The sequence below is a fragment of the Homo sapiens genome, chromosome 4 (assembly GCF_000001405.40).
Source record: "Homo sapiens chromosome 4, GRCh38.p14 Primary Assembly".
Lineage (NCBI taxonomy): Eukaryota > Metazoa > Chordata > Mammalia > Primates > Hominidae > Homo > Homo sapiens.
The window spans coordinates 154480739-154498026 of record NC_000004.12 but is presented as its reverse complement, the minus strand read 5'-3'; the positions used below and the strand labels follow the sequence as shown (position 1 = coordinate 154498026).

The 17288-nt window shown below is 44.8% G+C and overlaps 1 protein-coding gene across 2 annotated transcripts in view, besides 5 other annotated features; it reads left to right on the top strand.

Moving 5' to 3' along the window:
• Nucleotides 5798–5847: an enhancer, noted in NCBI's record as "active region_22077". NCBI's record gives its function as "activates an Ori minimal core promoter by ATAC-STARR-seq in GM12878 lymphoblastoid cells {active_cell/tissue: GM12878}" and the evidence as "EXISTENCE:reporter gene assay evidence [ECO:0000049][PMID:35858748]".
• The window catches only part of DCHS2 (dachsous cadherin-related 2), a 260058-nt gene continuing 248997 nt past the window's right edge, over nt 6228–17288 (top strand). For both annotated transcript variants that reach the window (NM_001358235.2, NM_001142552.2), the window contains exon 1: nt 6228–8723. In NM_001358235.2, the coding sequence (NP_001345164.1) occupies nt 6672–8723 (2052 nt within the window). In that variant the 5' untranslated portion in view covers nt 6228–6671. The remainder of the gene's footprint in view (nt 8724–17288) is intronic.
• Nucleotides 6488–7443: an enhancer, noted in NCBI's record as "H3K27ac-H3K4me1 hESC enhancer chr4:155411736-155412691 (GRCh37/hg19 assembly coordinates)". NCBI's record gives its function as "activates a minimal SCP1, AML or CMV promoter by ChIP-STARR-seq in naive H9 embryonic stem cells {active_cell/tissue: H9 hESC(naive)}" and the evidence as "EXISTENCE:reporter gene assay evidence [ECO:0000049][PMID:30033119]".
• Nucleotides 6650–6829: an enhancer, noted in NCBI's record as "active region_22076". NCBI's record gives its function as "activates an Ori minimal core promoter by ATAC-STARR-seq in GM12878 lymphoblastoid cells {active_cell/tissue: GM12878}" and the evidence as "EXISTENCE:reporter gene assay evidence [ECO:0000049][PMID:35858748]".
• Nucleotides 6880–7019: an enhancer, noted in NCBI's record as "active region_22075". NCBI's record gives its function as "activates an Ori minimal core promoter by ATAC-STARR-seq in GM12878 lymphoblastoid cells {active_cell/tissue: GM12878}" and the evidence as "EXISTENCE:reporter gene assay evidence [ECO:0000049][PMID:35858748]".
• Nucleotides 7444–8400: an enhancer, noted in NCBI's record as "H3K27ac-H3K4me1 hESC enhancer chr4:155410779-155411735 (GRCh37/hg19 assembly coordinates)". NCBI's record gives its function as "activates a minimal SCP1, AML or CMV promoter by ChIP-STARR-seq in naive and primed H9 embryonic stem cells {active_cell/tissue: H9 hESC(naive and primed)}" and the evidence as "EXISTENCE:reporter gene assay evidence [ECO:0000049][PMID:30033119]".

The following is a 17288-nucleotide window of genomic DNA, read 5'->3' as shown; positions in this document are numbered from 1 at the left end:
TTTGTGGGATTGGCAGAGTCCTGGGTATTTCCTTTGCTTTCTCTTGCCTGGAATTATTATAACATATATTATGTATATATATTTCAGTGAACTTTACTTTGTCCCAGGAAACAGATCAGCTTCCTTAACTTCTCACAAAGAACAATAGCACTTAGAAAAATATTGGCAGGATCCAGTGCTATTTATCTTTTTCTTCACCTGCTTTATCTATCATGCCGTCTTATACAAATACATGAATATTCTAAAATTTTTTATGTGAAAGCAAGTAGATTACACTTTCCACACTGAATAATTACCAACTCAGAAAGTGTTGCTTTATTGGAATGGGGGTGTCACACCTGTTCCAACATCCACTTGTTAACCTTTTGGACTTGGCTTCAATTTCTGATTGAAGAAGTAAGTCACCTCCCCAGGTTTGGCAATGCATAGATCCTGTTAGAAAATGGTGTGTGGTTTTGGTTTCCGCATCTGATACAATATATAGGAAAATTGGAGAGAGTTCAGAGAACAGAAACAAAATGATTAAAGGGTCGAGGGAATGAGGAGCTGGGATTATTTCATCTAAAGAAAAGATTTTACAAAAGGCAAAATGGGGTATGTGCCAAAGACAGAATTAGAAAAGCCAAATTGTAGAGCCTATATGGTTGAGCAGGTTTGATTGGACTTTGTCGGCCATCCTGAGTCTGTTGGAGGGAATGGGGAGAAGTTGGTCTGCCTTACCAAGCACTGGGAAGGAGAATAAGCAAGTTAGGACAGAAAAGGGGAAATTAGGCAGGAATTACCTTAGCTAGGGGTTCTGAGATCTACAAATACCACAATCTTCAAAAGCAGGGACAACTTTGGTATACGCACTTCTTATATTCCAGCTTCTACTAGATCTGAAACTATGATTCAATACAGTATGATAAAACCAACTTAACGATAAGCCTTGTTATAGTTCCCTTCAACTATATGATGAAGTGTTGGCATAAAAATAATCGACCAGTTTTTCTTCATCTTCCCCAAAATCAAAGCAAATAACTATATGTTGATATTCAAATCAAAGATTCTTAATCTGTAAAATGTGATCATATTCTGTGGAGTTGAGAATATCATACAGGCATGTGTGGAATTGGTTCTAATGTTAAAAAAAGGAAAAGACTATCATCTCTTTTGAGTGGCTTAGAATCTAAGACAGAAAGATGTACTTGATTACTTATTAAGATCCCTATTAGGTCCAGGATTCTGATTTTAAAAACTTTAAGAACACAAAATATATGTAGATTCTAAATACCAGCTATAATATTAAATACTAAATTATCTCCACTTCCACAAAGCTCTATATTAGTTAGGGTTCTTCCCAGCATGACATAACCTTCCTAGCAGCATCTAGACCAGTGTTTCACCAAACAATGTGGGCACCGTAGCCTGGGCCAACTTGACACATCACATTTAACCATCACAAGCTCCAAACGCTCTTTGGCTCAAACGTTTTCAGAAAGATGGCATGTGAGTCAAGGGAGTATGGGGGCTTCCTGGTATCATGCACCCTTCTTAACCCTCAGAGGGCCATCCCCATGCGTGAGAAGTTGGGAAGAAACCCTCCATGTCACCCGATTCTCCTTACTGGCCTTTAAGTACCATTTCTAAGTACATTTCTAAGTACGGAGTTGGTTTTTTTTTTTGGTTGTATTTTCAAGTACTGACATGTGACTATCCTCTTGTGCCTCCCCACCACTCCCACTAACATGCTCACAAGTTCCTCCTTCTGTAGTTCTCCCAGGTCTTCCCAAAACTCACTATATCACTGTACTGATTTCATCAAGAATTCAGAAGAAGACAATCTTATTAAAGAAAATCATGAAGACAATAAATGACCAGTGAACACCGTGGACACTGGAGCAAAACTGGGTTCAGGTTCCAATTCTACTACCTGTGGGACTTTGGCCACATGACTTGCAATGCTCCTGAACCTCAGTTTCCTCATCTGTAAGATGGGAATACTAATTATAACTCCTTTCCTAAAAGGTTGACGTGAGGTGATTTGAACCCTGCTTTGAGCACTTAGCAACTACACTATTTAAATTAACTATCACAAAGCTGAGGGCTACCTACAGTCTGAGGGAAAATGTTTCTGAAGAGGGACTTCCTGTGTTACTTAAACTGAATAACACAAAGTGAAGAAATGCCTTGAGCCTTTTTGTCCAAGTTTCTGTTTACAATACTGGGGATTTTTTTTTTTTTTTTTTGAGATGGGCTTTCGCTCTGTCATCCAAGCTGGAGTGCAGTGGCAATGACACAGCTCAATGTCTTGGGTTCAAGCCATCCTGGCATCTCAGCCTCCTGAGTAGCTGGGACTTACAGGTATGCATCAGCGTGCCTGGCTATTTTTAAATTTTTTTTTTTTTTTTTTTTTTTTGTAGAGAGAAGGTCTTGCCACATTGCCTAGGCTGGTTTTTACTTCCCGGGCTCAAGCAATCCTCCTGCCTTGGCCTCTGAAAATGCTGGGATTACAGGCATGAGCCACTGCATCCAGCCAGATAGTGGGAATTTTATATCCTCCCCCTTCACACCTTCTGGGGGGCTAAGAAGTCGGAGTTTGATATTACTGAGAATTCCAAAATAATTCACTCCTAAAACATTTCATCATACAAACACCAGAGGGCAAGAAAAATACAATTTACCACATGCATTCTAGGTACCAATCCACATATATTGCCTCATTTAAGGCCCATGACATCCCTGTAAATTAGATGTATCATCCCCAATTTAGAAAGGAGGAAACTCTAAGGCTTAAGATTTAAATAACTTGCCCCAAATTATAGAGCAGAATAAGGATTTTCCAACTTTAAAGCTAAAACTCTGGCCAGTTACGCCATGATGCTTCGCTTACAAGGATCAGACCTTGACCTATTTCTTGCAGGCTGTTGGCTTCTGTATTATCTAAAATTATTTTTCACATATCTGAGAAATGCTCTTATTTCTCTTACTTTACAAAATTGAATTCTTAATTCTATAATTAAGGATATTCAGGACATTCAATGAAGGGTAATTGTGAAATGGACAGGAGACCTTGAATTGTACATGCTGGAGATATAAAGCTTTAGAACTAATAGGAAAATAGATGTCTGAGGTTCTTGATTTTCCATTTGTTTTCCACTGTTTCTAAACTAAACCACTGTTTACAAAGAATGTGTCAGTGAAAGATGCAGTAAAAGATGCTTCTTTTCCTTTATTTTTAGACTCAAGTAAATATTTGTTAACAATATGGTTGATATGGTTTGGATCTGTGTCCCTGCCCAAATCTCATGTTGAATGGTAATCCCCAGTGTTAGAGGTGGGACCTGGTGGGAGGTGACTGGATCATGAGGCAGTTTCTTATGAATGCTTTAGCACCATTCCCTGATGCTGTCCTCATGAGAGTGAGTGAGTTCTCATGAGATGTGTTTGTTTAAAAGTGTATAGCACCTCCCCATTCATTTTCTTCCTCCTGCCTACTTCCCCTTCACTTTCTGCTATGATTGTAAGTTTCCTGAGGCCTCCCCAGAAACTGATCCCACCATGCTTCCTGTACAGCCTGCAGAACCATGAGCCAATTAAACATTTTTTCTTTATAAATTACCCAGTCTCAGGTTCTTTACAGCAATGCAAGAACAGACTAATACAATGGTTTACAAAGTAAGTTGACGAAGCTGAAAAATAAGTTCAAGAAGTCCTATGAAATAATTAAGATGAGTAAGATTGCAAAGACATAATTCATTACAGTGAAGATTCTCATGGCCAATTCATTCTTGGTTATGGCTTCCAACTTCTACTTTAACAGACAAATGCATTCACTTACCCATAGGTTCAACCAACCGTCTGTCCAACACATACTTAGTAAATAGAGACACACTACATGCTAGGTACTGTTCTAGGTGCTGAGATAAAGCAGAATGAAGGTTTTGAGGTTGTAATAATCTAATAAACAAATGAAAAAAGCAAGTTGATTTCAGATGCTGATAGGTGTTGTGAATGAAATATACTGAAAGGATATAGCATTTATAGTAGAAAGGCTATCTGAAATAGGGTAATTAGGGAAGATCTTTCTTAACAGAGGGCATTGGAGTTGAGACCTGAATGAGAAAGAGCTAGCTCTTTCCAAAGCAGAAAAAAGAACTCCCAGGCATGGAAAGTTCTAACAATTCAAAGGTACAAGATCAAAAAGAAGGCAGATGGCTGAGTCCAGAGTGGTGGTATGAGGCAAGGTCAGAAAGATGGATAGGATCCTGTACTACTAAAAGGAGCTTGATTGAAGGAGTCTGAATTATAATCTAAGTATAATGGAATCATTTCAGGTTCTAAGCAGGAGGTAATATGATTTGAGACAGCTTTAAAAACATTAATCCAGATGCTTGTTCAAGAATTACTTATAGGCTGGTTGCGGTGGCTCAAGCCTGTAATCCCAGCACTTTGGGAGGCCTAGGCAGGAAGACTGGCCCCAGGAGTTCGAGACGAGCCTGGGCAATATAGTGAGACCTCATCTCTACAAAAGTAAAAAAAATAAACAAATAAATTAATAAAATAATATAAAATTTGCCAGGTATAGTGGTGGGCACCCATAGTCCCAGCTACTCTGGAAGCTGAGGTGATGGAATCACTTGAGTCCATGAGGTTGCAGTGCGCCATGATTGCACCACCGCACTCCAGCCTGGGTGACAGAGTGAGATCCTGACTCAGAAAACAAAACAGCAACAACAACAACAATAGCAAAAACAGAAAAGAATTACTTATAAAGGGGCAAGAGTGGGAGGGGAGGGACTAGTTAGGGTGCAAATGCAGAGACTGAAGATAAAAAGACTCTAAAGACTCATAACAAATCTCTTTAATGGTTAAAGAGAGTTCATTGGGGGAAAGAAAGCTGAATTTATTTTAATAATGTCCCCATTTTCGGTAACATATATGCTACAAAGTCAATTATTTTATTGTTATTTGGTCACAGGTAGAGATAACGGTGTGGCTGTGGATTAGCAATTACATACACCTCCGTTGCACATTTAAAAAGGCATTTTGTTGTTGCTGCAAGAAACCACTATGCAGGGCTTTTGGTCCTCCCTAAAGGAGAGAAACGGTATCTAGGAAATTAATTCTTCTCTCAGGCCCAAATGCAAAATTGCAGAAACCACTTGCTAAATATGGTCAGCCATTTTTAAGAGTCCAGAGAGTCTTTTCTCAGGCGTACTTTATTAGAGGCCATTGATCAGTTTCTACCGATTATTATAGTTAATTGAAGGGAAATCTGCGACTATGGCTATTTATTGGCATTTGCGTTCGGCTCAGACAGAAGCTAGTTTTGAAAGTGGTATCCGTAGAGTTATCCCGCTTGCACACTTCCTTGCCTAGGGGTGGTGGGGGAGCGCTGAGGGCTTGCGGGGTGTCAGCCACCAGGGCTTTCTGCTCATCAGTCAGCATCGTCAGACATCCTGGAAGTGTTATGATGGCGCTGAATGTAGAAAAAGGGTTCTCAGGGCGGATATATTGTCGTCATTCCTGGTGGCAGAGGGGAGTGACAAGAGGCTCACACGTCGCTGGGTAGTAGCACGCATAATAAAGTGTGGTTTGCACCATGTGTGCCACAGATTTCTCGGGTTTTCTGGAAGGCTTTTCCAAGTTCCGCCTTCTCCCCTTTAAAGCCATCCTGGCCCCAGCTATGCATCGGCCTTTGACTCCATCTGTCCTTCCGCTGCGGACGGGAGTCCCTCTCGCCAAATGGAGAACACAAGTTTGGCACCCCAAAGTGATGATAACCTCTACCCTCTTGGCTCAGCGCGAGCCAAGAGTCAGGCCTGCAGAGGGACGGTCAAGCGGATGGAGGGGGAGGCCGCGGAGAGGCCGCTCCTCTCACCTCCCCGCACCCATCATCACTTGGCACTTGGCCAAGCCCAGGCAGACGCCCCGCCTGCGCGTCCCCCACCCGCCCCGCGGTGCACGTCTCCCAGTGCTTTTGCATTTGCTCCTCTTCCGCCCTGCTGCAGAGCGCGGCTCGCAGGTTGGAGTTTGCCCTCGTGTGCGCCGCATCACACGGCAGGGAGGGGAAGGCAGGCGGCGGAGGCTGGGTCGGAGCAGGAGTCGCGCGGTCCCTGGCGCCCGGAGACACAGTGGGGAACCACCGCCCCGCCCCCGGAGCAGCGGACAGGGCCGCAGACCTCCCTTCCCCCCTCCCTCTCTCCCTCCTCCCCAGCGCCCTGACTCCCTGCCTCCACGCCCTTACTCCACCCCCTACTCCGGCCAGATCCCCATCCTCTCCTTGTGTGTGCGCGCTTCATATAATCTCCTCCTTTTTGGCAAAAGAAATAATGCACCTGACTTTACCAGGGGGGAACAACCAGCCGAGTAGAACAAGGAACAGATGTAAAGGGAATAAAAGGAGAGAGAAAAAGAGATGAGATTCGTTTAAAGAAATCCAGGGGCAGAAGAGGTGGCTGCCGCGGCAGAGGCAGCTAGAGCTTACTTCCCTGTCTGCGTGAGCTGCAGGCAGAGGACGCTTTCACCAGTTGCAGATGTAACCTCGGGAATTCCTGGGCCGTCGGTTTGTTTGCCAAACAAAGTCTTTTCTTCTCTGGCTCAGACACTGAAGAGGCTCCTGGATTTTTCTGCGATCCTGCCACAAGCTGGCAGTTACCCGAGAGCCTTCCCAAGGAGCTGGAGGAGAAATGAGCCCTTGTGGGCGGAAGATGGGCGAAGGGCGTCAGCAGCGGCGGGCTCCGGTCGGGAAGCTCCTTCTGCTCCCCGGGAGGAGAGATACACCCCATGGGCGGTCAGGCAGCAGCGGCGCCAGGACGCAGCGCTCCCTGCTCTGGCTCTTGGTGCACGTGTGGCTGTGGGCGGCCTCGGGCTCCTCTGCCCAGTTGTTCAACCTCACCCTTTCCGTAGATGAGGGGCTTCCCCCGGACACGCTGGTAGGTGACATCCGCGCCGGGCTGCCGGCCGCGCAGCAGCAGGAGGGGAGCGGCTTCTTTCTGTCGGAGGACTCCGATGACTCCCCGCTGCTGGACGACTTCCACGTGCACCCGGACACCGGCATCATCCGCACTGCGCGGCGCCTGGACCGCGAGCGGCGGGACCACTACAGCTTCGTCGCCGCCACGCTGCTGGGCGCTGTGGTGCAGGTGGAGATTCGCGTCAACGACGTGAATGACCACTCGCCCCGCTTTCCCCTCGACTCCCTGCAACTCGACGTCTCCGAGCTCAGCCCGCCAGGGACCGCCTTCCGCCTGCCAGTTGCCCACGATCCGGACGCCGGACTGTTCAGCACTCAGGGCTACACCCTGGTGCAACCGTCCGACCTGCCCAAGGACCCCGCAGGCCCGTTCTTCCAGTTGCGCTACCGGACTCCGGGGCCACTACCGTCACCGCTTTTGCCAGGCTCCTCGTCACCCCTGGAGCCTCTAGATCTGGTGCTGCTGCGGCGCTTGGACCGAGAGGAGGCGGCGGCGCACCGGCTGCAGATCGAGGCATGGGACGGCGGCCGACCCCGGCGCACCGGCCTCCTGAGCGTGGAGCTGCGCGTGCTGGATGAGAACGACAACCCGCCGGTCTTTGAGCAGGACGAGTACCGCGCCGCGGTGCGCGAGGACGCCCAGCCGGGCGCCGAGGTCTGTCGCGTGCGCGCCACCGACCGCGACCTGGGGCCCAATGGCTTCGTGCGCTACAGCGTCCGCGCCCGGCAAGTGCCTGGGGCGGGTAGCGGCGGCGGGGCACTGGGCGACGCGGCCTACTTCGCGGTGGAGGAGCTGAGCGGCGTGGTGCGAGTGTGGAGACCTCTGGACCGCGAGGCACAGGCCTGGCACCAGTTGGTGGTGGAGGCCCGCGATGGAGGCGCCGAGCCTGAGGTTGCCACGGTGCGCGTGTCCATCGCCGTGCTGGACGTGAATGACAACCGGCCAGCAATTCACGTGCTCTTTCTCACAGAGGGAGGCGTCGCCCGTGTCTCTGAAGGCGCCCGACCGGGCGACTACGTGGCTCGCGTCTCGGTGTCTGACGCGGACGGTGACTGGGAGAAGGAAGATGAGGCCACAGGGGAGCTTGGTGTGGGTCTTGGAGACGGGAGCATCTCTCTGTCCTTGGAAGGCGGAGAGGGAGACTTCGCGTTGCTACCCGGCGGCCCCCCAGGGGTATTTTTCCTTTGCGTGGAGGGGCCCCTGGACAGAGAGAGCCGCGATCTGTATGAGTTACTACTGGTGGCCACGGACGCGGGGTCCCCGCCGCTGAGCACGGAGGAGACGCTGCTACTCCGGGTCGCTGACCTCAATGACCAACCACCTCTCTTCAGCCAACAGCATTACAAGGCCTCAGTGTCCGAGGCCGCGGCCCCTGGCACTGTAGTCATGTGGGTCAGCGCCTCCGATGCCGACGAGGCAGGCAGTGATCACGCCTGGCTGCGCTACACTGTAGTCCAACTCTCGGCTCCCTGCAATCTCGGCTCCCTGCAATCAAAGATGGTCCACACCGCAGAGTGTGGACCATCTTTTGCCATTGATTCCGAAAGCGGTGCGATCAGCACTATCCGGACTCTAGACCGAGAGGTCCAGGAGGCGGTGGAGCTGAAAGTGGTGGCCCAGGACCTCGGAGAGCCCCCACTCTCTGCCACCTGCCTGGTGAGCATCACCGTAGATGATGTGAATGACAATGAGCCCATCTTCTGGAGGCAGGTGTACAATGCCACCATTGCAGAGCATGCCCCGGTTGGACACTGCTTTCTGCAGGTGAGTGCATCAGGCCTGTGGGCCAACCTGAAGGCTTGGGAAGGGATGGAGAGGGTTGTGAGTTGGCCTAGGAAATTGTGATGTGGAGGATAATATTCCGGCTCTCAAATACAAGACTGGCGGTAGTGCCCCCTCTACAGTGAGATGAATGATGCCCTCTAGTCACCTAACTTTTTTTTGCCAGGGTCTTGGCTACATGATCTCTAAGGTCCTTTCAACTTGACTTTTAGATCTTGATTTATCTTATTGAAGCCTGATTTCTTTCCTGCTGGATGTATGCACCTAAATAGGTTCAGGAGGAACTGCCCATTCTAAATCAGACCTCTTCCAACTGACAATGTCTCACATCATATCATATAAATACATGTATACACACACACACACACACACACACACACACAGACACACACACACACATATATATATTTTTGTCAAACAGAGTGTCACTCTGTTGCCCAGGCTGGAGTGCAGTGGCTCAATCTCGGCTCACTGCAACCTCCTTTTCCCAGACTCAAGCAATTCTCCTGCCTGCCACCATACCTGGCTAATTTCTGTATTTTTTTAGTGGAGATGGGGTTTCACCATGTTTGCCAGGCTGGTCTCGAACTCCTGACCTCAGGTGATCTGCCCTCCTCAACTTCCCAAAGTGCTGGGATTACAGGGGTGAGCCACCACGCCCAGCAATGTCTCATATATTTTTTTAACAGCTTTATGAGGCAACCTAGGGAATAAGGTAGTTCTCGTAAGTGAGTTTTTAAAATGACCAAGTGTATATCTTTATACACTGACACTGTTTTGAGTTACCTTTTCCAGAGACTTCTTACATGTTTTCCTACCTTCCTTCGAAGCTTACAAAGGTTGGATGAAGACTGAAGTCATCTTTATTAGTTAGCATCAGGTGTGAGCTAAGCTTCTTCCATGATGCTTTCAGGACTCTGAGGGGCAGTGGGACTCAATTATCCTTTATAAAATGGGGCACTGTACACTGCTTTTTGATTTGGGTGTTTTGCCTCTTGTAGTTTTCCTGATCTCTCCTTCACTATCAGAATGGCATGTTTTGCCCCCTTCCAGGCCATTCCTTTTTTTTTTGCTTCCGATTTCCTATTTGTTTCTTTTTTATTTTTTTGAGACAAGGTCTTGCTTTGTGGCCCAAAATGGAGTACAGTGGCACAATCATGGCTCACTGAAGCCTGGACCTCCCAGGGTAAAGTGATTCTCCCACCTCAGTCTCCCAAGTAGCTGCAAGCACAGGCATGCGCCAACATGGCTAGCTAATTTTTAAATAATGTGTAGGGACGAGGTCCAGCTGTGTTCCCCAGGCTGGTCTCGAACTCCTGGGCTCAAATGATACTCCCGCCTCAGCCTCCCAAAGTGCTGGGATTACAGGCATAAGCCACCTTGCCTGGCCAATTTCCTATTTCTTATCTGATGGGAGATAATCAAAGTTCCAAGACTGATTTATTTACTCTGAAATAACTTGAGTAAATATATCTAGCCTGAAGAGCTTACCAGGGCATGAAGCTCTAAAGCTTAATTTTGCTCTCAGCCTGGGTTGTTTTAAGATGTTTGCTGCTTACTTTCTGGTTCTCAGTTAGGGAGTTCAGGCTTTAGCTTTGCAAATTATGTCTCAAATAATAACCTTTAGATAATTGAGGTGCTACTGCAAAGTAAAAGTGGGTTTCATGACTGCTTCCACCATTTTAATCTTTTGGGTATATGGGTGATAATAATCTCCATCCCTTTCTTTAGAGTGATTGCCAGCTCTGAGTTGCTAGATTATTAAAAAGTGGCTTGATATGAATTAATGCTTGCTGATGAAATGGACAAATCCACAAATATTAGTGACTAACACTGTCAAAGTATATTTCTCTCTCAAGCAGAGTCTGATGTGAAGCAACTTGGCTGTTTCTCCTCCGTCTGAGAGAGCCAGGCCTGAGAGTGACTTACACAACTTCCGCCAATGTCACATTAGCCAGAGCCCAGCCATGCAGCGTCAGATGTACTGCAAAGGAGGCTGAGAAATGTAGAGGAGCCCGGGTATGCCAGTGCCCACTGATAGTTTCTTCCATGGATTTCTAAAAATGAAAGTCATAATAGGTGACAGGTTGGACAAGTTGACTTCCAATATTCCTTCCACCTGGAACTCCCTGAAGATCTTGGTATGAATAGTACAACTTGGCTCCATTGTTAGGAAAATAAGCAGGGTGGATTAATTATGATTTTTTTGATGAAAGCCTGTCTTTAGAGTTGTTTCTATCATCGTGAGATGATTCTTCTATGAGGTGTGAGTTTATCCCATTGTTACAACTCCATATGTGGTAGATCCATTATGGTGAGCTCAGCTTGGCTTACATGTAGGACTGCACCTCCAACAATTGCAACAAACCTTTCCAGGTTGCCAAGTATTGCTGCAGACAGCATTAAATTGTGCTGACTAGAATTTCTGGAAATTCCAGCGATCTAGCCCCTCAAGATTTGCAAAAGCCTCTTAGTCACTGGGCTCTCTGGTGGCCTCTCCAAGGCAGCTATGTGAACTTTCTGTGTTCCATACGCCCCACAGCTGACTTACCCCCTAATTTCCATATGAGATTCAAAGAAGCGTCTTCCTTCTTTCTACTCTCTCAATCTTTCTTTATACCACTTTGCAAAAACCAACTCCCCCATCTTGCCTTTGAATCTCATGACACCTCCTGTGTTCCATGGCTTTGCTTAATGACATTACATACATTCCTTGTAACTGTACCTTCTTTCTGTTGCCATCTACAAGTTTTCCTCTTTTACAGCTTATATCTGCTCAAGTTGCCTTTGTCAAAATCAAACAAAAACAAAAGGAAATACAGGAAAAACAAAATCTTGCCTAGATTTCCTGTAAGATAATACCATGTCATCTGATAAAAACAAACCCTTTAACTTCAAGTTGTCTTAGTGGTTACTCCACATCCCCAATGTTTGGGGTCCTACCACTCTAGTTGCTGCTGTTGCTGGCACTATGGTGCTGGCCACCCTCCCCTCTCCGAGTGTTGGCTGAACTCTTATATTCTCATGCCCTGACGAGACCTTTCCAAAGACTTATGAGTGAGGCAGAACTGAGGGAATTAATGCAGAGGACAAGAACCATTAGCAAACTGAGATAGATAACCTCTAGCTGCAAAAGGTTTTTACAACATTGTAGGCACTCGTCTGGACTTCTTAATAACTCAGTCCCTGCCTGTCTCAGGTGGACAGCCTCTTCTTAACAATCCACCCCTCAGGAGTTCCTTTCAATCTCTTGCTGCCTTCTTGGTCAAGACAGAGAGGGAATTCCACTCTGCAGACACCCAGAGATTTTCCTCCAGTTCTCATGTTTGGCCTGAAAGATTCCATTTTCGCTCAGATAACTGTCAAAAAGATTAACTTCAACCTCTAGACAAGAGCTCCATCCTCCACCCTACACTAAGTCTGATGTTGTGAGCTGCATTTGCAGCTTTTATCTTATAACCAGATCTTAGTCTGTACTAAGTATAACTCCAGCATTGAGACCTGAATTACATGTGGTAACATGAAGAGTATTCTTTCATACTCCCTCAAATACAAGTACTATGTTCATTCATCAATTCATTTATTTATCCAAACAACAACATTCATTAATTCAATAACATTGATTGAATTCAACAACATCTAACCAACAAATACTTATTGAATATCTATTACATGCCAGGAACTGTTCTTGGTGCTGGGGACAGCAACAAGCAAAACGGGCAAGGTGCTTGCTAGCAGAGCTTATTGTGTGTGTTCTCCATCTCCTTCCCTTCTCCGTCAGTCCTTGTGAATGAATGACATGTGCCTGACTCCCACTTGCTGATCACCCCTTCTCCATGTGTTCTGACCTTCTCCCATCACTGTACTAAATTCTGCCTCTCAAGAGGCGTGTATCTGTTTCTTTCAAATCCAATGGGCTTTTCTTAGTCATAACCTCTCTCATGCTCTCTGAAGCATTTTGGACTGCTGACCACTTCCTCTTTCTTGCATGCATCTTTTTCACTGCCCATTGTCTCCTTACATTCTGCCTCTCGCTTGCCAATTCCTCTTTTTCCTTTTTTCTCTTGTGCCACCCCACACTCAGTGTGGTAGAGGCATTCCCAAAGGCTCTGTCTTCCCCTCACTCCTTGCCTTTCTATAATCTCTTCCTGTATATTCCCAGAAGTTCATTTAAAAAAAAAAGCTCATAACACCACATGGATGTAAGGATTGGAGATAACTGGTATGTTGAGGTAGAAAGTGGTTTGTAGAGCTTTATAGGTGGGAAAGTAGATCTATCCAGTAGATCGGGGATTCTCTGTTATGTACATTTTTATTTACAACCTGTCATGGATGCATTCCACTGTAGCTGCACATTTTGTGTGTATGTAGGAATGTGTAATGCATTTCTAGGTATGATCATCTCCAAAAGAGAACCACTTAGGATGGACTTCAGAAAGTTGTGATCAGTAAGATTTCCCTTCTCTGAGGATTGAAATCTTACAATAAATCGATTTTAGTAACAACTAAACTCCAGATGTCTATTAATGGTCCCCTCACCTTTTAAATTATAAATGAAAAGTGAGCAACTGTGGAAGTAATTTATATTTTCATAGCCCATTAGGGAAATTATGCGAAATCATTTTTACAAATGCCAGGTTATTTTAATCTTACTGAATTAAAATCTTCATTTAATCAAAATATGTGTTTTGTAGTGAAAGTAGATCAGGTAAATATAATCGGAAGTATGAATTAATTGAAAATCTATGTAATCCATGGGGATAGGAGGAATTGGAATAATCACGGTGTGTCTGGTTCCTGTAGTGAAGTAATGGGAGGCTGTTTTGGAGACATGGGAGATATCAGTGTTTGCGCAGAGCTTGGCCTTTATTATTATGGAAATACATGGGAGATAATGGGAGGTTTGTGAATAGAGATTGACATGTGAAAAGTAACGTTTTAGGAAGAGTCATCTTAAATTAGTAGAAAGAATAGAAAGAAGTAAGGAGGGAAACCAGGTAGGAGAGTTCTGAGTCTCTTGTAATAACACATATTCAGCTACATGGGCCTGAATTAGGGGAATGGTAGTGAAGCGTAAGAGGAAGGATGGCCTTAGAGGTATCACAAAGGAATAATTGGTACAACTTGTATAGATGTGAGTGAGAAACTGGTGGAAGGAGTAAAAAATAACACCATGTTTTCCATCTGGATTAGTGGGAAGAATAGGAAAAGCTGGAGGTGAGAGTTTTGGGGGAAAGATGCTGGCTCTCTCGAGTTTTTGATTTCAGTGTGAATTAACGGCCAGTAGTATAGGAAAATACATCTTGAAGGCTATTTAGAGCTTCAGAACTACTAACAGGAGAGAATGTAAGGTTGGAGACATAAACTTGGAAGTTACTCATGTGGAGGTGATACTTAAAGCTGTGAAAGTGTCAGGATAATGGGAGAAGAGTCAATGGCTAAGGACGCTGGCTGAGACGAGGGTCTTGCGACTCATATGATGTTGGGGGGCAGGTCTCTGTGATGATAATGCTATGTGCTTGTATTCCTGAGCCTCAAGGACCACAACCCAGAGAGATGGTTGGCATCTTACTCCATTTTCTGAGCTCCTCAGCATAGCTTCTGAGATATTCAGCCTCCCATGCCACAGTCCCAGGCATTAAGGCACTCGTTATTTGAATCTGCCTGTTTCTCTCTCCTCTTCTTCCTGTTTCCTATGGACCATCTGGTCAGTCCCCATGTGCAGTGAAGACAATGAAAGCCTGTTTTAGTCATTGTTGTCCCCATTGTAACTCTTGTCATCCAGGCAATTTGGTCTCATGTTTCTTCAGTTGACCCAGTTTTGATGTCCTTATTGTTACTTCCTCTCCAGGAACCCTATCCTACAGCCATCCCCTGTAATCTGGAATCACTTAGAACAACTCTACCTCTTATGTCTCATCTCACTCTCTGATCACAGCTTGCCAGCCTTTCCGCTTTCTCAGCCTTTGATTTGGTTTGCATTTATTTTTTAATCTAGATTTTTTTCTAGATGACTTGCTCTTTCTTTTCTCTTCTTGTATATCACCCCCCTCCTTGCTTTAGTTCCTTCTCTGTTCGGTTGTAATTCTTCTATGCACCAAACTAACCCTTCCTCTTCCATACATGTATACATATTACCAACAGTAGATCTCTCCAACTATATCTCCCCCTGCCCCACACACTCTCTGAAACACTCAGACTACAGGGGACTGCTGGAGTAATTCCAAGTGATAATAGAGTCTACTTAGAGTAGAATTTAAGTATGGTATTTTAATATCAGCCAGGCCCTCAATTCTGTTGAGTAATTTTGTTGTATTCATCTAAGCATCTCTTCCACAACCTCATTCGCTTTAAGCACCATAGCCTGCTGCCTTTACTCTTTACAGGTAACTATGCTTCCTACTCAGTAGAGGCTAGTAGCTGAAAACTTGCTTGTGTTTTTGCCTGCCACCATGAGGCTTTCTGTAAATGCACTATCCAATCCCTAGGGACTAGATGATTTTTCTTTGTCCACATCAAACTCACCCATTCATATTCTCCCATCCATCTATCCATCCATCCAACAATCCCCTATTCCATCTTCTCTGACATGGATTCTCAATCACTCCATTTCTCCTTTATCTTTTACCTCTACCTCTATACTTACTTATTCTCTTAGCACATAATACGACTCTTTCATAGTTTGTAATATTTAAAAACTAAGTATGTGAGGGTCTTTTTCGCTCACTTCTTTCCTCAATGTCCTGTAGGAGTTGATGTCTGCTACCTATTGGCCCATTTTTTTCCCCAAGTCTTTCCTACTCAAAGAAGAGTTCTGGAAACCTGTGCTGCTATCTTTTTCAATGTCTGATATCTCTTGACGATGGACTCAGTACTCTGTTTTGGTTCTTGAGCAAAAGTGGCCTTCTTTCTCATCTGTTAGTGTCAAGAAGTTGTGAAAAAAATGTAGCTGCTAAAGTGTAAGAAATGACATATGGAATTTATTTTTGCTCATTTCTTAATGTTATACACTGTAATTGATGGAAGCCATTAACTAATATGTTTCATATGAGAAGAAATGGTTGAATCAATCAAAATAGTATATTCTATTGAACAGGCAAAAGTGTCTTAGTCTTGATTATTGTTTAAATCATCTTGCTACACTCACTTTTTACTGGATGGTTTTTGGGCATGCTAACCCTACCATATCTGTACAGTAAGACACCGTGTCTTCCTTTCTCAATAATTCTGTTTTGAATTTCCTTTTAAACAGCCCAGGCTGTTACCTTCATTTCAGGCTTTATCACTTTCCCATAAACATGCAGATCTCAGAGTCCACTGATGAAGTGTGTGAAAACTCCTTGGTAGAGAGGATGGAAGAGGTTTGCTCGTTCTCATTATTTCCAGGTGTCCTTCATTTGGACAGAAGAAGAGTAATCCCGTGGATAAAAGCTTGCAATGCAGAGTGAAACATACCCAAGTTTAAATTTCAGCTCTGTTACTTAATAGCTTAACCTCAAGTAAATTCCTAAACCTTTGTAAGCCTCAATTTTGTCATCCATAAAATAGGGATGATAATGGGATTCACCTGGTAGGGTTATTGTGGCGATTAAATGAGATGATGCATATCCAGGACACAGAGCACTGCCTAGCACATGGTAAACTCCCAGGAAAGTTTACCATTATATGTAATTTCACTTGAGTGTGATTAAACTATGGAGCTAAGAGAGAGTGAGAAAAAGAAACGTCAGGCTGGGCATGGTGGCTCTTGTCTGTAATCCCAGCACTTTGGGAGGCTGAGGTGGATGGACAGCTTGAGCCCAGGAGTTTGAGACCAGCCTGGGCAACAGAGCAAAACCTCTACAAAAAATACAAAAATTAGCCAGGTGTGGTGATGTGCACCTGTAGTCCCAGCTACTTGGGATGCTGAGATGGGAGGATTAGTTGAGCCTGGGAGGTCGAGGCTGCAGTGAACCATGATTGCGCCACTGCACCCCAGCCTGGGTGACAGAGCAAGACCCTGTCTCCAATAAAATAAAATTAAATAATAAAATAAAAGTCAGTTCTTTCTTTTAAAAATTCCTATGGCTAGTCATGTTAAATGGCTAGAGATATGATCTCAATAGATACTCTAGGAAAACCATTGTCCTAATTAATACCCAGGGCTTCCATCCCAAATTCAGTCAGCTTCCTGCCTTGGACAGCTAAACAGGAGCTGTTTGTACAAAATTTACCAACAAAAAGGGACATCAGTTAAAAACTATTTGTATACCACTTTTAAGAAAGCTGAACAACACAAATCTTTCCTTAAAAGTTCTTTTGCATATTAAAGGAAACATTATTAAAATAATTGTTAACATATTATTATAATTAGAATATTAGGCCAGGCAGTGGCTCATGTCTGTAATCTCAGCACTTTGGGAGGCCTCTGTTGGTGAGTGCTTGAGGCCAGGAGTTTGAGGCCAGCCTGGGCAACATAACAAAACCCTATCTCTATTTCAAGAAAATAAATTTTAACAAGAATATTAATGTAAAACTTTTTCAGTTGAATTGATTTGTATTATGTGT